This window comes from Homo sapiens, chromosome 8, assembly GCF_000001405.40.
Source record: "Homo sapiens chromosome 8, GRCh38.p14 Primary Assembly".
Lineage (NCBI taxonomy): Eukaryota > Metazoa > Chordata > Mammalia > Primates > Hominidae > Homo > Homo sapiens.
The window spans coordinates 1,710,263-1,732,552 of NC_000008.11; the positions used below are offsets into that span (position 1 = coordinate 1,710,263).

The 22,290-nt window shown below is 42.6% G+C and overlaps 1 pseudogene; it reads left to right on the forward strand.

Annotated features, from left to right (window-relative positions):
• On the forward strand, positions 19,905-20,642 carry LOC100130321 (DNA fragmentation factor subunit alpha pseudogene; annotated as a pseudogene).

Below are 22,290 nucleotides of genomic sequence, written 5' to 3' on the forward strand. Positions count from 1 at the left end.
CCCAGCACTTTGGGATGCCAAGGTGAGAGGATCGCTTGAGCACAGGACTTTTTAAAAAAGAGACCCAACAGCATGCTGTTACCAGAAAAGCGCTTTAAATATAAAGACACTGATTAAAAGTAACACCATAGAGCAGTGTAAACCATGCTAACACTAATCCAAAGAAAGCTGCAGTCACTGCATTAACACCAGACAGGGCACCCTTCAGACAAGAAATCTCCTCCAGGACACAGAAGGACATGACATAATGATAAAGAGGCCAGTTCTCCACAAAGGCATGACAATGCTCAATGTGCCTGTGCCTAAAAACAGTGTCAAGTGACACGAAAACCAGCAGAACTACAAAGAAAGAGAAATCCACTGTGGCGGTTAGAGAGCTCAGCACCTGTCTACCAGTAACTGACAGATCCAGCCAGCAGAAAATCAGCAAGGACATAGCTGACCTCAACAGCACCACTGGTTACCTAGCTATAATGCACACCTAACACCCTACTTCGTCCAACTGCAGCAGAACACACAGGCTTCCCAAGCTACACTCTGGGCTATGAAACACACCTTAACAGATGTAAAAGAAGCACCACTGGTTACCTAGCTATAATGCACACCTAACACCCTACTTCGTCCAACTGCAGCAGAACACACATGCTTCCCAAGCTACACTCTGGGCTATGAAACACACTTTAAAAATGTAAAAGAAGCACCACTGGTTACCTAGCTATAATGAACACCTAACACCCTACTTCATCCAACTACAGCAGAACACACATGCTTCCCAAGCTACACTCTGGGCTATGAAACACACTTTAAAAATGTAAAAGAAGCACCACTGGTTACCTAGCTATAATGCACACCTAACACCCTACTTCGTCCAACTGCAGCAGAACACACAGGCTTCCCAAGCTACACTCTGGGCTATGAAACACACCTTAACAGATGTAAAAGAAGCACCACTGGTTACCTAGCTATAATGCACACCTAACACCCTACTTCGTCCAACTGCAGCAGAACACACATGCTTCCCAAGCTACACTCTGGGCTATGAAACACACTTTAAAAATGTAAAAGAAGCACCACTGGTTACCTAGCTATAATGAACACCTAACACCCTACTTCATCCAACTACAGCAGAACACACATGCTTCCCAAGCTACACTCTGGGCTATGAAACACACGCTAACAGATGTAAAAGAAGCACCACTGGTTACCTAGCTGTAATGAACACCTAACACCCTACTTCATCCAACTACAGCAGAACACACATGCTTCCCAAGCTACACTCTGGGCTATGAAACACACGCTAACAGATGTAAAAGAATAGAGTCATACAATGTATGAACTCTCAATTCCACAACGGAGTTAAACTAGAAATCAGTAACAGAAAGATAGCTGGAAAATCCCCAAACACATGGAGATTAAGCAATGCACTTCTAATACCACATGGATCTACAAAGAAGTCTCAAAAGAAATTTAAAAATATTTAAACTAAATGAAAATAACAACACAATATATGTAAATTTGTGAGATGCAGCAAAAGCAGTGCCTGGAAGAAATGCATAGCATTCAATGCCTGTATTAGAAAAGAATGATCCAAAAGCAATCATTTAGATATCCATCTTAGGAGGCAGTCAAATCCAAAGTAAGCACAGGAAATGAAATAATAAAAATTAGAGCAGAAATCAATACAATTGAAAATAGGAAACAGAGAAAAATAATGTAATCAAAAGCCAGCGCTTTGAAAAGATCAATAAAATTGATAAGCCGCTAACCGTTCACTCTCCTGGAAAAGGGGCTGCAGCCAGGGAGCCAAGTGGTCTGGCTCGGTGGGTCCCACCCCCAAGGAGCCCAGCAAGCTAAGATCCACTGGCTTGAAATTCTTGCTGCCAGCACAGAAATCAACCTGAAATCAACCTGAAATGCTCAAGCTTGGTGCGGGCAGGGGTGCCCACCACTGCGAGGCTTGAGTAGGCAGTTTTACCCTCACCGTGTAAACAAAGCCTCTGGGAAGTTCGAACTGGGCAATCCCACCGCAGCTCAGCAAGGCCACTGTGGCCAGACTGCCTCTCTAGACTCCGCCTCTCTGGGCAGGGCATCTCTGAAAAACAGGCAGCAGCCCCAGTCAGGGGCTTGTAGATAAAACCCCCATCTAACTGGGACAGAGCACCCAGGGAAAGGGGCGGCTGTGGGTGCAGCTTCAGCAGAATTAAACGCTCATGCCTGACGGCTGTGAAGACAACAGCAGATCTCCCAGCACAGCACTCAAGTCTCTGCTAAGGGTCAGACTGCCTCCTCAACTGGGTCCCTGACCCTGGTGTATCCTGACTGGGAGAAACCTCCCAGTAGGGGACAACAGACACCTCATACAGGAGAGCTCTGGCTGGCATCTGGTGGGTGCTCCTCTGGGATGAAGATTCCAAAGGAAGGAACAGGCAGCAATCTTTGCTGTTCTGCAGCCTCCGCTGGCGATACTCAGGCAAACAGGGTCTGGAGTGGACCTCCAGCAAACTCCAGCAGACCTGCAGCAGAGGGGCCTGATGGTTAGAAGGAAAACTAACAAACAGAAAGCAATAGCATCAACATCAACAAAAAGGACATCCACACCAGAACCCCATCTGAAGGTCAACAGCATCAAAGACCAAAGGTAGAGAAATCCATGAAGATGGAAGGAACTGGCGCAAAAAGGCTGAAAATTCCAAAAGCCATAACGCCTCTTCTTCTCCAAAGGATCACAACTCCTCGCCAGCAAGGGAACAAAACTGGACAGAGAATAAGTTTGATGAATTGACAGAAGTAGGCTTCAGAAGGTGGGTAACAAACTCCTCTGAGCTAAAGGAGCATGTTCTAACCCAAAGCAAGGAAGCTATGAACCTGGAAAAAAGGTTAGAGGAATTGCTAACTAGAATAACCAGTGTGGAGAAGAACATAAATGACCTGATGAAGCTGAAGACCACAGCATGAGAACTTCGTGAAGCATATACAAGTATCAATAGCCGAATCGATCAAATGGAAGAGAGGATATCAGAGATTAAAGATCAACGAAATGAAATAAAGTGAGAAGACAAGATCACAGAAAAAAGAATGAAAAGGAACAAACAAAGCCTCCAGGAAATATGGGACTACGTGAAAAGACCAAATCTAAGTTCGATTAGTGTACCTGAAAGTGACGGGGAGAATGGAACCAAGTTGGGAAATACTCTTCAGGATATTATCCAGGAGAACTTCCCCAAACTAGCAAGACAGGCCAACATTCAAATTCAGGAAATACAGAGAACACGACAAAGATACTCCTGGAGAAGAGCAACCCCAAGACACATTAACATCAGATTCACCAAGGTTGAAATGAAGGAAAAAAATCTTAAGGGCAGCCAGAGAGAAAGGTCAGACTACCCACAAAGGGAAGCCCATCAGATTAACAGTGGATCTCTCTGCAGAAACCCTACAAGCCAGAAGAGAGTGGGGCCAATGTTCAACATTCTTAAAGAAAAGAATTTTCAACCAGAATTTCATATCCAGCCAAACTAAGTTTCATAAGCAAAGGATGAATAAAATCCTTTACAGACAAGCAAATGCTGAGAGATATTGTCATCACCAGGCCTGCCTTACAAGAGCTCCTGAAGGAAGCACTAAACATGGAAAGGAACCACCAGTACCAGCCATTGCAGAAACATACCAAATTGTGGCCAGGTGCAGTGGCTGACACCTGTAATGCCAGCACTTTGGAAGGCTGAGACAGGCAGAACACGAGGTCAGGAGATCGAGACCAACCTGGCTAACACAGTGAAACCCCATCTCTACTAAAAATACAAAAAAATTAACCGGGCATGGTGGCAGGCGTCTGTAGTCCCAGCTTCTTGGTAGGGTCAGGCAGGACAATGGCGTGAACCCAGGAGGTGGAGCTTTCAGTGAGCCGAGACTGCAGCACTGCACTCCAGCCTGGGCAACAGAGCAAGACTCCATCTCAAAAAAAAAAAAAAAATTGTAAAGACCATCAACACTACAAAGAAACTGCATAAACTAATGAGCAAAATAACCAGCTAGCATCATAATGACAGGATCAAATTCACACATAACAATATTAACCTTAAACGTAAATGGACTGAATGCCCCAATTAAAAGACACAGACTGGCAAATTGGATAAAGAGTCAAGACCCATCAGTGTGCTGTATTCAGGAGACCCATCTCATGTGCAAAGACACACATAGGCTCAAAATAAACAGATGGAGGAATATTAACGAAGAAAATGGAAAGCAAAAAAAGGCAGGGGTTGCAATCCTAGTCTCTGATAAAACAGACTTTAAACCAACAGAGATGAAAAGAGACAAAGAAAGGTATTACATAATGGTAAAGGGATCAATTCACCAAGAGCTAACTATCCTAAATATATAAGCACCCAATACAGGAGCACGCAGATTCATAAAGCAAGTTCTTAGAGACCTACAAAGAGACTTAAAATCTCCCATATTATTGTGTGGGAGTCTAACACTCCACTGTCAATATCAGACAGATCAATGAGACGGAAAATTAACTAGGATATTCAGGACCTGAACTCAGATCTGGACCAAGCAGACCTAATAGACATCTACAGAACTCTCCACCCCAAATCAATAGAATACACATTCTTGTCAGCATCTCATTATGCTTATTCTAAAATTAACCACATAATTGGAAGTAAAACACTCCTCAGCAAATGCAAAAGGATGGAAGTCATAACAAACGGCCTCTCTGACCACAATGCAATCAAATTAGAACTCAGGATTAAGAAACTCACTCAATGGCCAAGCGCAGTGGCTCACGCCTGTCATCCCAGCACTTTGGGAGGTCCGGGGCAGGCAGATCACCTGAGGTCGGGAGTTCGAGACAAGCCTGACCAATGTGGAGAAACCCCATCTCTAATAATAATAATAAAAAAAAAAAAAAAAAAAAACTTAGCTGGACATGGTGGCACATGCCTGTAATCCCAGCTACTCGGGAGGCCAAGGTGGGAGAATCACTGGAACCCAGGAGGCAGAAGTTGCAGTGAGCTGAGATCACGCCATTGCACTCCAGCCTGGGCAACAAGAGGGAAACTCCATCTCAAAAAAAAAAAAAAAAAAAAAAGGACTCACTCAAAACTGCACCACACAACTACATGGAAACTGGACAACCTGCTCCTGAAAGACTACTTGGTAAATAACAAAATTAAGGCAGAAATAAAGATGTTCCTTGAAACCAATGAGAACAAAGACAACGTACCAGAATCTATGGGACATATTTCAGGCAGTGTTTAGAGGTACTTTTTTTTTTTTTTTTTTTTGAGGCAGAGTCTTGCTCTGTCGCCTCCATGCAGGAGTTCAGCAGTACGATCCCAGCTCACACTGCAAGTTCTGCCTCCCAAGTTCACGCCATTTTCCTGCCTCAGCTTCCCGAGTAGCTGGGACTACAGGCGCCTACCACCATGCCCAGCTAATTTTTTTGTATTTTTAGTAGAGACAGGGTTTCACCATGTTAGCCAGGATGGTCTCAATCTCCTGAACTCGTGATCTGCCCACTTTGGCCTCCCAAAGTACCAGGATTACAGGCATGAGACACTGTGCCCTGCCTAGAGGGAAATTTGTAGCACTAAATGCCCACAAGAGAAAGCAGCAAAGATCTAAAATTGACACCCTAACATCACAATTAAAAGAACTAGAGAAGCAAGAGCAAACAAATTCAAAAGCTAGCAGGGACAAGAAATAACTAAGATCAGAGCAGAACTGAAAGAGATAGAGACACGAAAACGCCTTCAAAAAAATGAATCCAGGAGCTGGTTTTTTGAAAAGATCAACAAAATAGATAGACTGCTAGCAAGACTAATAAAGAAGAGAAAAGAATCAAATAGACAGAATAAAAAATGATAAAGGGGATATCACCACTGATACCACAGAAATACAAACTAACATCAGAGAATACTATAAACACCTCTATGCAAATAAACTAGAAAATCTACAAGAAATGGATAAATTCTGGGACACATACACTCTCCCAAGTCTAAACCAGGAAGAAGTCAAATCCCTGAATAGACCAATAACAAGTTCTGAAATTGAGGCAATAATTAATAGCCTTCCAACCAAAAGAAGTCGAGGACCAGAAAGATTCACAGCCGAATTCTACCAGAGGTACAAAGAGGAGCAGGTACTATTCCTTCTGAAACTATTCAAAACAATAGAAAAAGAGGGAATCCTCCCTAACTCATTTTAAGAGGCCAGCATCATCCTGATACCAAAACCTGGCAGAGACACAACAAAAAAAGAGAATTTTAGACCAATATCCCTGATAAACATCGATAGAAAAATCATCAATAAAATACTGTGAAACCTAATCCAGTAGCACATTAAAAAGCTAATCCACTACGATCAAGTCGGCTTCATCCCTGGGATGCAAGGCTGGTTCAACAAACGCAAATCAATAAACGTAATTCATCACAAACAGAAACAATGACAAAAAACACATGATCAGCTCAATAGATGCAGAAAAGGCCTTCAACAAAATTCCACAGCGCTTCATGCTAGAAACTCTCAATAAACTAGGTATTGATGGAATGTATTTCAAAATAATAAGAGCTTTTTATGACAAACCCACAGCCAATATCATACTGAATGACCAAAAACTGTAAGCATTCCCTTTGAAAACCAGCACAAGACGTCTATTAGGTCCACTTAGTGCAGAGCTGAGGTCAATTCCTAGATATCCTTGTGAACTTTCTGTCTCATTGATCTGTCTAATGTTGACAGTGGGGTGTTAAAGTCTCCCATTATTATTGTGTGGGAGTCTAAGTCTCTTTGTAGGTCTCTAAGGACTTCCTTTATGAATCTGGGTGCTCCCGTATTGGGTGCATATATATTTAGGATAGTTAGCTCTTCTTGTTGAATTGATCCCTTTACCATTATGTAATGGCCTTCTTTGTCTCTTTTGATTTTTGTTGGTTTAAAGTCTGTTTTATCAGGGACTAGGATTGCAACCCCTTCCTTTTTTTGTTTTCCATTTTCTTGGTAGATCTTCCTCCATCCCTTTATTTTGAGCCTATGTGTGTCTCTGCACATGAGATGGGTTTCCTTAATACAGCACACTGATGGGTCTTGACTCTTTATCCAATTTGCCAGTCTATGTCTTTTAATTGGAGCATTTAGCCCATTTACATTTAAGGTTAATATTGTTATGTGTGAATTTGATCCTGTCATTATGATGCCAGCTGGTTATTTTGCTTGTTAGTTGATGCATCTACAGAACTCTCCACCCCAAATCAACAGAATATACATTCTTTTCAGCACCACACCTATTCCAAAATTGACCACATAGTTGGAAGTAAAGAACTCCTCAGCAAATGTTAAAGAACAGAAATTATAACAAACTGTCTCTCAGACCACAGTGCAATCAAACTAGAACTCAGGATTAAGAAACTCACTCAAAACCGCTCAACTACATGGAAACTGAACAACCTGCTCCTGAATGACTACTGAGTACATAACGAAATGAAGGCAGAAATAAAGATGTTCTTTGAAACCAATGAGAGCAAAGACACAACATACCAGAATCTCTGGGACACATTCAAAACAGTGTGTAGAGGGAAATTTATAGCACCAAATGCCCACAAGAGAAAGCAGGAAAGATCTAAAATTGACACCCTAACATCACAATTAAAAGAACTAGAGAAGCAAGAGAAAACACATTCAAAAGCTAGCAGAAGGCGAGAAATAACTAAAATCAGAGCAGAACTGAAGGAAATAGAGACACAAAAAAACCCTTCAAAAAAATCAATGAATCCAGGAGCTGTTTTTTTTGAAAAGATCAACAAAACTGATAGACCACTAGCAAGACTAATAAAGAAGAAAAGAGAGAAGAATCAAATAGACACAATAAAAAATGATAAACGGGATATCACCACCGATCCCACAGAAATACAAACTACCATCAGAGAATACTATAAACACCTCTATGCAAATAAACTAGAAAATCTAGAAGAAATGGATAAATTGCTCGACACATACCCTCTCCCAAGACTAAACCAGGAAGAAGTTGAACCCTTGAACAGACCAATAACAGGGTCTGAAATTGAAGCAATAATTAATAGCCTACCAACTAAAAAAAGTCCAGGACCACATGGATTCACAGCCGAACTCTACCAAAAGTACAAAGAGGAGCTGGTACCATCTTTCTGAAATTATTCCAATCAATAGAAAAAGAGGGAATCCTCCCTAACTCATTTTATGAGGCCAGCATCATCCTGATACCAAAGCCTGGCAGAGACACAACAAAAAAAGAGAATTTTAGACCAATATCCCTGATCAACATCGATGCAAAAATCCTCAATAAAATACTGGCAAACCGAATCCAGCAGCACATCAAAAAGCTTATCCACCATGATCAAGTGGGCTTCATCCCTGGGAAGCAAGGCTGGTTCAATATACGCAAATCAATAAATGTAATCCAGCATATTAAACAGAGCCAAAGACAAAAACCACATGATTATCTCAATAGATGCAGAAAAGGCCTTTGACAAAATTCAACAACCCTTCGTGCTAAAAGCTCTCAATAAACTAGGTATTGATGGGACATATCTCAAAATAATAAGAGCTATCTATGACAAACCCACAGCCAATATCATAGTGAATGGACAAAAACTGGAAGCATTCCCTTTGAAAACTGGCACAAGACAAGGATGCCCTCTCTCACCACTCCTATTCAACAGAGTGTTGGAAGTTCTGGCCAGGGCAATCAGGCAGGAGAAGGAAATAAAGGGTATTCAATTAGGGAAAGAGGAAGTCAAATTGTCCTTGTTTGCAGATGACATGATTGTATATCTAGAAAACCCCACTGTCTCAGCCCAAAATCTCCTTAAGCTGATAGGCAACTTCAGCAAAGTCTCAGGATACGAAATCAATGTGCAAAAATCACAAGCATTCTTATACACCAATAACAGACAAACAGAGAGCCAAATCATGAGTGAACTCCCATTCACGTTTGCTTCAAAGAGAATAAAATACCTAGGAATACAACTACAAGGGATGTGAAAGACCTCTTCAAGGAGAACTACAAACCACTACTCAATGAAATAAAAGAGGATACAAACACATAGAACATTCCATGCTCATGGGTAGGAAGAATCAATATCATGAAAATGGCCATACTGCCCAAGGTAATTTATAGATTCAATGCCATCCCCATCAAGCTACCAATGACTTTCTTCACAGAATTGGAAAAAACTACTTTAAAGTTCATATGGAACCAAGAAAGAGCCCGCATTGCCAAGTCAATCCTAAGCCAAAAGAACAAAGCTGGAGGCATCACGCTACCTGACTTCAAACTATACTACAAGGCTACAGTAACCAAAACAGCATGGTACTGGTACCAAAACAGAGATATAGACCAATGGAACAGAACAGAGCCCTCAGAAATAATGCCACATATCTACAACCATCTGATCTTTGACAAACCTGACAAAAACAAGCAATGGGGAAAGGACTCCCTATTTAATAAATGGTGCTGGGAAAACTGGCTAGCCATATGTAGAAAGCTGAAACTGGATCCCTTCCTTACACCTTATACAAAAATTAATTCAAGACGGACTAAAGACTTAAATGTTAGATCTAAAATCATAAAAACCCTAGAAGAAAACCTAGGCATTACCATTCAGGACATAGGCATGGGCAAGGACTTCATGTCTAAAACACCAAAAGCAATGGCAACAAAAGCCATAATTGACAAATGGGATCTAATTAAACTAAAGAGCTTCTGAACAGCAAAAGAAACTACCATCAGAGTAAACAGGCAACCTACAGAATGGGAGAAAATTTTTGCAATCTACTCATCTGACAAAGGGCTAATATCCAGAATCTACAATGAACTCCAACAAATTTGCAAGAAAAAAAACAAACAACCCCATCAAAAAGTGGGCAAAGGATATGAACAGACACTTCTCAAAAGAAGACATTTATGCAGCCAAAAGACACATGAAAAAATGCTCATCATCACTGGCCATCAGAGAAATGCAAATCAAAACCACAGTGAGATACCATCTCACACCAGTTAGAATGGTGATCATTAAAAAGTCAGGAGACAACAGGTGCTGGAGAGGATGTGGAGAAATAGGAACACTTTTACACTGTTGGTGGGACTGTAAACTAGTTCAACCATTGTGGAAGTCAGTGTGGTGATTCCTCAGGGATCTAGAACTAGAAATACCATTTGACCCAGCCATCCCATTACTGGGTATATACCCAAAGGATTATAAATCATGATGCTATAAAGACACATGCACACATATGTTTATTGCGCCACTATTCACAATAGCAAAGACTTGGAACCAACCCAAATGTCCAACAATGATAGACTGGATTAAGAAAATGTGGCAAATATACACCATGGAATACTATGCAGCCATAAAAAATGATGACTTCATGTCCTTTGTAGGGACATGGATGAAGCTGGAAACCATCATTCTGAGCAAACTATTGCAAGGATAAAAAAACAAACACTGCATGTTCTCATGCATAGGTGGGAATTGAACAATGAGAACACATGGAAACAGGAAGGGGAACATCACACACCGGGGCCTGTTGTGGGGTTGGGGGAGGGTGGAGGGATAGCATTAGGAGATACACCTAATGCTAAATGATGAGTTAATGGGTGCAGCACACCAACATGGCACATGTTTACATATGTAACAAACCTGCACGTTGTGCACATATACCCTAAAACTTAAAGTATAATTTAAAAAAAAAGAAAAAGAAAAAAAAAAAAAAAGAAAACCAGCACAAAATAAGGCTTCCTTCTCTAACCACTCCTATTCAACATAGTATTGGAAGTTCTGACCAGGGCAATCACGTAAGAGAAAGAAATAAAGGGTACTCAATTAGGAAAAGAGGAAGTCAAATTGTCTCTGTTTGCAGATGACATGACTGTATATTTAGAAAACCCCATCGTCTCAGCCCAAAATCTCCTTAAGCTGATAAGCAACTTCAGCAAAGTCTAAGGATACAAAATCCATATTCAAAAATCACAAGCATTCCTATACACCAATAACAGACAAACGACAGCCAAATCATGAGTGACCTCTCACTCACGATTGCTACCAAGAGAATAAAATACCTAGGAATCCAACTTACAAGGGATGTGAAGGACCTCTTCAAGAAGAACTACAAACCACTGCTCAAGAAAATGAGAGAGGACACAAATAAATGGAACAACATTCCATGCTCATGGATAGCAGGAATCAATATCGGGAAAATGGCCATACTGCCCAAGGTAATTTACAGATTCAATGCTATGGCCATCAAGCTACCATTGACTTTCTTCACAGAATTGGAAAAAACTACTTTAAATTTCATATGGAACCAAAAAGGAGCCCACATAGCCAAGACAATCACAAGCAAAAAGAACAAAGCTGGAGGCATCACACTACCTGACTTCAAACTATACTACAAGGCTACAGTAACCAAAAGAGCATGGTACTGGTACCAAAACAGATATAGACAAATGGAACAGAACAGAGCCCTCAGAAATAACACCACACATCTAAAACCATCTGATCTTTGACAAACTTGACAAAAACAAGAAATGGGGAAAGGATTCTCTAATTAATAAATAGTGCTAGGAAAACTACCTAGTCATATGCACAAAACTGAAACTGGACCCCTTCCTTACACTTTATACAAAAATTAACTCAAGATGGATTAACGACTTAAATGTAAAACCTAAAACCATAAAAACCCTAGAAGAAAACCTAGGCAACACCACTCAGGACATAGGCATGGGCAAAAAGTTTTGGTGAATAAAACACCAAAAGCAAGGGCAAGTAAAGCCAAAATTAACAAATGGGATCTAATTAAACTAAAGAGCTTCTGCACAGCAAAAGAACCTATCATCAGAGTGAACAGGCAACCTACAGAATGGCAGAAAATTTTTGCATTCTATCCATATGACAAAGGGCTAATATCCAGAATCTACAAAGAACTATAACAAATTTACAAGAAAAAAACAAACCACTCCATCAACAGGTGGGAGATAGGAACAGATACTTCTCAAAAGAAGACATTTATGCGGCCAAAAAACATTGAAAAAAAGCTCACCATCACTGATCACTAGAGAAATGCAAATCAAAACCACAATGAGGTACCATCTCACGCCAGTTAGAACGGTGATCATTAAAAAGGCAGGAAACAGATGTCAGAGATGATGTGGAGAAATAGGAATGCTTTTACACTGTTGGTGGGAGTATAAATTAGTTCAACCATTGTGGAAGATACTGTAGCGATTCCTCAAGGATCTAGAAGCAGAAATAGCATTTGACCCAGCAATCCCATTACTGGGTATACACACAAAGGATTATACATCTTTCTACTATAAAGGTGCATTCACACGTATGTTTATTGCGGCGCTATTCACAATAACGAAGACTTGGAACTAACCAAAATGCCCACAAATGATAGACTGGATAAAGAAAATGTGATACATATACACCATGGAATAATATGCAACCATAAAAAAGGATGAGTTAATGTCATTTGCAGGGACAGGGATGAAGCTGGACACCATCATTCTCAGCAACTAACACAAGAACAGAAAACCAAACACCTCATGTTCTTACTCATGAGTGGGAGATGAACAATGAGAACACATGGACACAGGGAGGGGAACATCACACATCAGGGCCTGTCGGTGGGTGGGGGCTAGAGGAGAGATAGCATTAGGAGAAACACCTAATGTAGATGATGGGTTGATGGATGCAGAAACCACTATGGCACATGTATACCTATGTAACAAAACTGCACGTTCTGCTCATGTGCCCCAGAACTTAAAGTATAATCTAAAAAAATTAGCCTGGTGTAGTAGCAAGCACCTGATTCTGGTGCATGCACCTGATATAGTAGCTGCAGTCCCAGCTACTAGGTCAAGGCTGCAGTGAACCCCGATTGCACCCCTGCATTCCAGCCTGGGTGATTGAGAGAGAACCTGTTTCAAAAAAAAAATGAATTGTATAAACAACTAATGTCTATAAACTTGATAACGTAGACGAAATGAACCAATTCCTAGGAAGATACAATCCAACAAAACACACCTAAGTGGAAATATGTATTCTGAATAGGACTGTATTTATTAAAGAAATTAAATAACCTTCTTCCCAAACAGAAAGCACCCATCCCAGATGAGGTCACTGTTGAGTTCCACCAAACTCACCAGTAACTATAAGAATCACACCAATTCTCCATAATGTCTTTTAGAAAATAGAAGCAGAGGTACTACTTCCTAACTCATTCTGAGGCCAGGATTCCCCTAAAACCAAAGCCAAACAAAGATATTAAAAGAAAGGAATTCTAAAATCAGTATGTCTCAGGAACATAGATGCAAAATCCTCAAAAAAAGAAAAACCCAAAAATAACAAATCAAGCGCAACGATATGTAAAAAGAATTGTATACCACAACCAAGAGGGATTTATCCCCAGTACACAAGACTGTTATAAACATTTGAAAATCAATTAATGTAATCACCACATCAACAGGCTAAAGAAAAAAATCATAAATTTTATCAGTAGATACAGAAAAAGCATTTGGCAGAACCCAACACCATTCACAGTGAAGAGTCTCAGCAAACTCGGAATAAAGGGTACTTTCTCAACTTGATAAAGAACATCAGCCGGGCGCGGTGGCTCACGCCTGTAATCCCAGCACTTTGGGAGGCTGAGGCGGGCGGATCACGAAGTCAGGAGATCGAGACCATCCTGGCTAATATGGTGAAACCCCATCTCTACTAAAAATACAAAAAATTAGCCGGGCGTGGTGGCCAGTGCCTGTAGTCCCAGCTACTCGGGAGGCTGAGGCAGGAGAATGGCGTGAACCCGGGAGGCTGAGCTTGCAGTGAGCTGAGATCGCGCCACTGCACTGCAGGCTGGGAGAGAGAGCGAGACCCCGTCTCAAAAAAAAAAAAAAAAAAAAAAAAAAAAAAATCTGCATCTGCAAAAGTCTACAACAAGCACCCTATTTAATTATGAGAAACTGGAAGGCTCCCCAGTAGGATCAGGAACAGGGCAGGAACATCCCTCTCACCACTACTGTTCATCATCACACTGAAGATCCCAGCTAACACAATAAAGCAAGGAAAGGAAAGACGAGGCACACGCATTGGGAAGAGATTAAAAATCTGTCTTTGTTTACAGATGACAATTGTCTGTAGAAAATACCAAAGAAACAACAACAACAAAAAAACACTCATGGAACCAAAAGCAATTACAGCTAGGTTGCAGGATAAAAAGTTAATATGAAAAATCAATTGCTTTCTTACATAGAAGCCATTAACAATTGGAATCTGAAATTTCAAAACATCTTTAATGCAACTGCAATAAAAATCCCAGCAAGTTACCTTGTGACTGTTGACAAACGGATTCTAAAGTTTATATGGAGAGGCAAAGACCCAGAACAGCCAACAAAATAGGGAGGGAGGAAAACAAAGTCAGAGGAGTGACACTTCCCACCTTCGAGTCTGACTCTAACACCACAGCAATCAGGATGGTGTGTGATTTGCTAAATAACAGACCAGATCAATGAAACAGAATTGAGAACCCAGAAACAGACCCACATGAATGTAGTCAACTGATCTTTGACAAAGGAACAAATGCAAGTCAGTGCTGAAAAGATCGTTTTTTAAACAAATAGTGCTAGAACAGCTGGACAGCCACAGACAAAAAAAAAGAATCTAGATTTAGACTTTAGACCTTTCACAAAGTCTTATTAACAATGGATCATGGCCTGGCTGGCACAGTGGTTCACTCCTGTAATCCCAGCACTTTGGGAGTTTGAGGTGGGAGAATCACTTGAGCCCAGGAATGTGAGACCAGCTTGGGCAACATAGAGACACCCTGACTCTACAAAAAATAAATACAATTAGCCAGGTGTGGTGGCGGCACCTATAGTCCCAGCTACTTGGGAGGCTGAAGCAGGAGGATCGCTTGAGCCCAGGAGGTCGATGCTACAGTGAGCCAAGATCACACCACTGTACTCCAGCATGGATGACAAAGCAAGACCCTGTCTCAAAAAAATAAAAAGTAAAAATATAGAAAATTTTAAAATAAAAAATAGATCATAGACCTAAATGTAAAATGCAAAGCTATAAAACTTCCAGAAGATAACATAGGAGAACATCTAGGTGACCTCTAGTTTGGTGGTGATCTTTTAGATACAACATCAAAGGCATGATCCATTAACGAAAGGATTGATAAGTTCGAATTCATTAAAATTTTAAAACCCATCTATTCATTTGAAAGACTGTGTTCAGAAAATGAATTGACAAACCACAGACTGGGAGAAAATATTTGCAAAACATTTATCTAATAAAAGACTGGCATCCAAAATATACAAACAGCTCTTAAAACTCAACAGTAAGAAAACAAATAACCGAATTTAAAAATTGGCAAAGAGGCATGGTCGCTCATGCCTGTAATCCCAGCACTTTGGGAGGGTGAGGCGGGAACATCACCTGAGGTCAGGAATTCGAGACCAGCCTGGCCAGCATGGTGAAACCCTGTCTCTACTAAAAATACAAAAAATTAGCCGGGCATGGTGGCGGGTACCTGTAGTCCCAGCAACTCAGGAGGCTGAGGCAGGAGAATCGTTTGAACCCGGGAGGGAGAGGTTGCAGTGGGCCAAGTTCATGCCATTGCACTCCAGCCTGGGTGACAGAACAGAACGCCATCTCAAAATAATAATAATAGTAATAATAATAATAATTGATGAAGACCTAAGGAGACACCTCATCAAGAAAATATCCAGAAGGCAAATAAGGCATATAAAAGGACATCACATGCCATCAAGGAAATGCAAATTAAAACCACAGTGAGACACCACCACACACCTATGAGCATGTCTGCTATTCAAAACACTGACAACTCCAAACACCAATAAGGATGCAGAGTAACAGGTGCCCTCGTTTGCTGCTGGTGGGAATGCAAAACGGTGCAGGCACTTTGGAAGACAGTTTGGCAGTGTCTCATAAACATAAATATTATACTGAAGCTATTAAAATGCAGAGTATGAAGACCTAAATTTTGATCCCTATCTAATTCCCACAGCAGACCTTAAACCAGGAGAACTACCACTCCTTGAAGTTGGTAACTGGGTAGTCTTACCTGTTGAAATGTCTATCCACATATCAGTCTCATCTGGAGACGTACTGCCCTCCTGAGCTCCCCCATCTCTAGGCCTAAAAACGGATTCAGATCCAGGACTTTTAGATAGAGCAGCTCTCACATCGGCACAACCCGGCCTGGAGCACGGACAGTGCTTAGACATTTCTAGTTGAACTTTCCATTCAACCCAGGAATTGTGCTCCTTGGTGTCTACACAAAGGAGTTAAAAACTTGTGTCCACACAAACACCTGCATAGAAATGTTTACATTCATAATTGCCAAAACCTGGAAGCAGCCAGGATGTCTTTCTGTGGGTGAATGAATCGTGATGCCACATCTACAACCATCTGATCTTCAACAAACCTGACAAAAACAAGCAATGGGGAAACGATTCCCTATTTAATAAATGGTGCTGGGAAAACTGGCTAGCCATATGCAGCAAACAAACTGGAACCATTCCTTGCACCTTATACAAAAATTAACTCAAGATGGATTAAAGACTTAAATGTAAAACCTAAAACCATAAAAATCCGAGAAGAAAACCTAGGCAATACGATTCAGGACATAGGCATGGGCAAAGACTTTGTGAATAAAACACCAAAAGTAATGGCAACAAAAGCCAAAATTGACAAATGGGATCTAATTAAACTAAAGAGCTTCTGCACAGCAAAAGAACCTATCATTAGAGTGAACAGGCAACGTACAGAATGGCAGAAAATTTTTGCAATCTATCCATCTGACAAAAGGCTAATATCTAGAATCTGCAAGGAACTTAAATTTATAAGGAAAAAAAAACCTCATCGAAAAGTGGGCGAAGTATATGAACAGACACTTCCCAAAAGAAGACATTTATGCAGCCAACAAACATATGAAAAAAAGCTCATCATCATTGGTCATTAAAGAAATGCAAATCAAAACCACAATGAGATACCATTTCATGCCAGTTAGACTGATGATTATTAAAAAATCAGGGAACAACAGATGCTGGAGAGGATGTGGAGAAATAGGAACGCTTTTACACTGTTGATGGGAGTGTAAATTAGTTCAAGCATTTTGGAAGACAGTGTGGCAATTCCTCAAGGATCTAGAACCAGAAATAGCATTTGACCCAGCAATCACATTACCAGGTATATACACAAAGGATTATAAATCATTCTGCTATAAAGATACATACATACATATGTTTATTGCAGTACTATCCACAATAGCAAAGACTTGGAACCAACCCAAATGCCCATCATTGACAGACTGTATAAAGAAAATGTGGCACATATATGCCATGGAATACTATGCAACCATAAAAAAGAATGAGTTCATGTCCTTTGCAGGGACACGGATGAAGCTGGAAACCATTCTCAGCAAACTAACACAGGAACAGAAAACGAAACATTGCATGTTCTCACTCATAAGTGGGAGTTGAACAATGAGAACGCATGGACACAGGAAGGGGAACATCACACACTGGGGCCTGTTGGTGGGTGCGGAGGGAGAGCATTAGGACAAATACCTAAGGCATGTGGGGCTTAAAACCTAGATGACGGGTTGATAGGTGCAGCAACCACCATGGCACATGTACACCTATGTAACAAACCTGCCTGTTCCGCACACATATCCCAGAACTGAAAAATAAACTCTGGTGCATCCAGACAATGCAATATTATTGAGCACTTTTTAAAAATGAGCTATCAAGCCATGAAAAGACATGGGGGACATGAAATGCTTATTACTAAGTGAAAGAAGTCAACCTGAAAAGGCTACCCACTGTGTGACTCCATCTGCATGACCTTCTGGAAAAGGTGGAACTATGGAGACAGTATAAAGATCAGTGGTTGGTAGGAGTTAGGGCAGCTGGAGGGCAGGTGGGGGCGGGGTGTGGGGGGGCAGGCAGAGCACAGAGGATGTTTACGGCAGTGAAACTATTCTGTGGATACCGTCACGGTAGATCCGTGTCATTACACATTTTCCAAACCCACAGAACGTACACCAACAGTGAACCCACAGGTAAACTATGGACTTTAGTTAATATTAATGTGAAATTGTAAAATCAATAATAAAACATACCACACCAATGCAAGATATTAACAAGGGGGGAAATGGAGGTCAGAGTGAGGCAGTATAAGAGAATTCCCTGTACTTTCTGCCCAATTTTTCTGTGAACCTAAACTGCTAAAAAAAAAAAGTTATATTAATTAAAATCAGCAACAAAACAAGAGGCGATGATGAGAAAATTTCAGATCCAACAATTTGAATGTTTTCAGCTTCTTTTCCATTATTTGAGATTTTAAATGAAGTTGGCTTTTTAAAATTAGAACACTGGAAAGAGTTCTGCTCCTTATTTTTAATATTGTGAGTTCTTAAGTTAGCATCACTTAATATGTCCCGAGAATTGCTACTTGCGTCTTAGTGAAGGTGAGGAGCAATGCACAGATGTTGGGCTGGGAAAGAAAAGATTTCGGAGAGGACCGCTCTAAGCATTGGCATCCAGCCACAGGGTGCAGCTTCAATTCTGGGGAGTTCTCCATGCAGCCTCCACTGCAGTTTAAAATGGGCTAAATGGATTTTTCCCGAACAATTAGGGTCCAGTGCAGATGGAAATCCATTTCCAAATGACCTCATTACACTGCTATGGTCTGTAACAATTTCGAGTGTGAAAAATTCAATTTTATACCAACACCACATTTCTGCACAGTCAAGAGTCTCTGAAGATTCAGACAACATTCATGACACGCCGCCCTGTGCGTGGGCTGCTGTGGCTCTGGTCCTCCCCAGTGGCAGCCTGGTGCTCACAGCCTTGCCCTCGGTTTCCCTCCTCCGAGGGGCCCTCCGTGTGCAGGCCACAAGAGGAAGAGCAAAGCCGCTCCATGAGCCTCCCCTTTCTGGGCCGCCTGCCCCGTCTCAAGGTCTCCAGCCTTCGCCCAACCTTCCCCACTCTCTGCACAGCACAGGACCCCGGCATGGAGCGCCAGTTTCTGGGAGCTGAGACTCTGCCTGGGGGGTGGGCACGAGGGGCCAGGCAGGCAGCCGATGTCCACGCCTCTCACTCCTGTTTGTCTTCCTGGTCATAGTCAGCCCTACTGCCCTCGGCAGCCTCCTCCACTCGCGCTCGCAAAACATCCGTTTCCTACTCAGTTCATCCATATTGCTGGCAATAAGCTGTTTCTAAAATTCAAATTCCCCAAATGGCTGCTCCTGGCTAAACAATTTCAATGACTCCTCCTCACATTCACAGAACATCTCCACATCTGAATCCACCTTGCTCTCCAGCCCTGCCTCCTCTGGAAGCCACTGTGCACTCGATATCCTAGCGGTTCCCAAATCCATGCTCCGTCCAGGGCTGTGCCATTCCCTCCACGCGCCCTCAGTGCCAGCACCCCCATGCTGCCTGGACCATCACCACTAAGGGCCTCCCTGGTCCTTCGGGGTGAGCTGGTCACCTTCCTCTTCCCTCTCCCAAAATGACGGTCAACCTGGTAACTGTCATCATACATCACAATGAACAGCAAGCATTTGTTAACTTGCTTGTGATCAAATTGTGGGGCTTTCAGGAGCAAATATATATATTCCTCTTTATGACTGGCTCCCAAGAAAGTGTGGCACTGGATACACCCTCACAGCATTCTTAGCGCACTGTGGGTGACAGGTTGGATAATGACAAGACCAAACTCCTCTGTGTATCATTCATTGATTCAATAAATATGTACTGAACAACACTTATGTACTGTCCACTCTGCTGGAAATACTGTATTTAAACAAACAAACAAACCACAATGGGTGCGGCTTCCCAGAGGCAGTCAGGTCCCACCTTGAAAAGGATGGATGTGACTGGGGACACCAGGGCATGAGAACCCGGCGAGATTCAGACTCTAAAGCTGGGCCGGCTGCACCGCAACTGCAGCCGTGAGCAGCACAGGTGGTCACCTCCCGCCTCGAGGACCTGAGCAGCAAGGCCTGTGACAGCCTGGCCATTGACAAGTCCCTGCCACTGATCACCCTGGTCCTGCAGAGGCTGGCACCACGGTGATGAGGATTACTTCCTGTGTCTGCCTTCCAATACTAAGAGTATGGCATTGACCAATAACGAGACGAGGGCATAGGACAATTCTGATGGAGATATGGCTTGGGTTTCCAGGCATCCTTTGATGTGGATGAACTATAGCGGGGCATGGTTGAAGCAGAAGAATGTGGCCAGGCAGCTGAACAAGGCTCCATCCAGTGCCATCCTCCTATCAGAGGAAGACTGTCCCGTGCTCATTCATATTCTGTGTTCAGATCTGGCTCAGGAACTAAGCCAAGGCTGTGCCACCATCCAGGTTCGCAGGACGCGCTCCAGCAGGTGCTTCACAGAGGAAGTGGTCTGTCCGGGCAGCTCCTGGAGCTGTACCTCCTGGTTTTGGAGAAAGAGGGCAGCCTCTTGTCAAGGCAAGAGGAGTCCAAAGCAGCCTTTGGTGATGAGGCAGAGGCAGTAGACATGATTTTGACAAAAAGACCTCCTCTGGGCCGGGCGCAGTGGCTCATGCCTGTGATCCCAGCACTTTGGGAGGCCAAGGCAGGCAGATCACTTGAGGTCAGGAGTTTGAGACCAGCCTTATGAAACCCCATCTCTACTAAAAATACAAAAAAAAAAATAGGCATGGTGGCGTATGCCTATAGTCCTAGTTACCTGAGAGGGTGAGGCAGAAGAATGGCTTGAACCTGGGAGGTGGAGGTTGCAGTGAGCCGAGATCACGCCATTGCACTCTAGCCTGGGCAACAGAGCAAGACTCCATCTCCAAAAAAAAAAAAACTCCCCTGAAATTGCACTGAGGAGCTAGTCCCTTCCCACACTGCAAGAGAAGCCAGCCCTGGAGCTGGTGTATCTACTCAGGATGTGGAGCTGCTTACCAAGGAAGACCCCAAGGCACTGGCTGTTGCTTTGAACGGGGACATTACGAAGACAAACTGTTCAAGAGGCTGGTGACCAGGTGCTCGCCCTGCACAGACGCAGAGCTTGCATTCTCGCCGGGAAGAACTCACTTCCGGAGACCCGCAGAACCCTAGGCCAGCCAGGCGAGACCCCACACAGCTGCAGCGGGAAGTGTGCCAGGGAAAGCCCTTGTCTCTGTTATTGCTATCAGCCTGGTTGTTTCACTACCCAAGCCCTACTCTACCGACTACCCTAGAGCACGTTCCACGACAGGGTGGGAGACTGGCTTTTTGCCCCTTCTGGAAAAGCTATCTTAGGTCTCAACATATGCCCTTCCCCCATTTTTTTCTTTGTTTTTGAGACAGAGTCTCGCTCAGTCGCCCAGGCTGGAGTGTAGTGGCGCAATCTTGGCTCACTGCAAGCTCCGCGTCCCAGATTCAAGCAGTTCTCCTGCCTCAGCCTCCCTAGTAGCTGAGACTACAGGCACCTGCCACCACGCCCAGCTAATTTTTTGTATTTTTAGTAGAGACAGGGTTTCACCCTGTTAGCCAGGATGGTCTCGATCTTCTGACCTCATGATCCGTCTAGGCCTCCCATAGTGCTGGGATTACAGGCATGAGCCCCTGCACCCGGCCCATTTTTTTCTTTTTTTAAAATTTTGGCCCAACCAGTTTCAGGACTTCCACCAATTTTTTTTTCCTTTGACACGGGGTTTTGCTCTTATTGCCCAGGCTGGAATGCAGTAGTGCGATCTCAGCTTACGGCAACCTCCACCTCCCAGGTTCAAGCAATTCTCCTGCTTCAGCCTCCTGAGTAGCTGGAATTATAGGCATATGCCACCAGGCCTGGTTAATTTTGTATTTTTAGTACAGATGGGGGTTTCTCCATGTTGTTCAGGCTGGTCTGAAACTCCCGGCCTCAGGTGATCCGCCTGCCTTGGCCTCCCAAAGCGCTGGGATCACACGTGTGAGCCGCGGTGCTCGGCCTGGACTTCCACCAATTTTAAATAATATAGCTGCACCAACAATATCCTACCTCCTCTAATTACCCATTCTTATGTTCTCTGTATAACAGTAGTTGTTGACAGCTCAGCTGCACTGCCTAAGAGTTAGCACTGCTCCACAAGGAGCGATTTAAAAAAAGAAAAACATTAACAAATAAGGAAACAAAAGTAACTGTCAGCCTGGGCAACATAGCAAGACCCTGTCTCTACAAAAAAAATTAAAAATTAGCAAGGTGAGGTGGCTCACACCTGT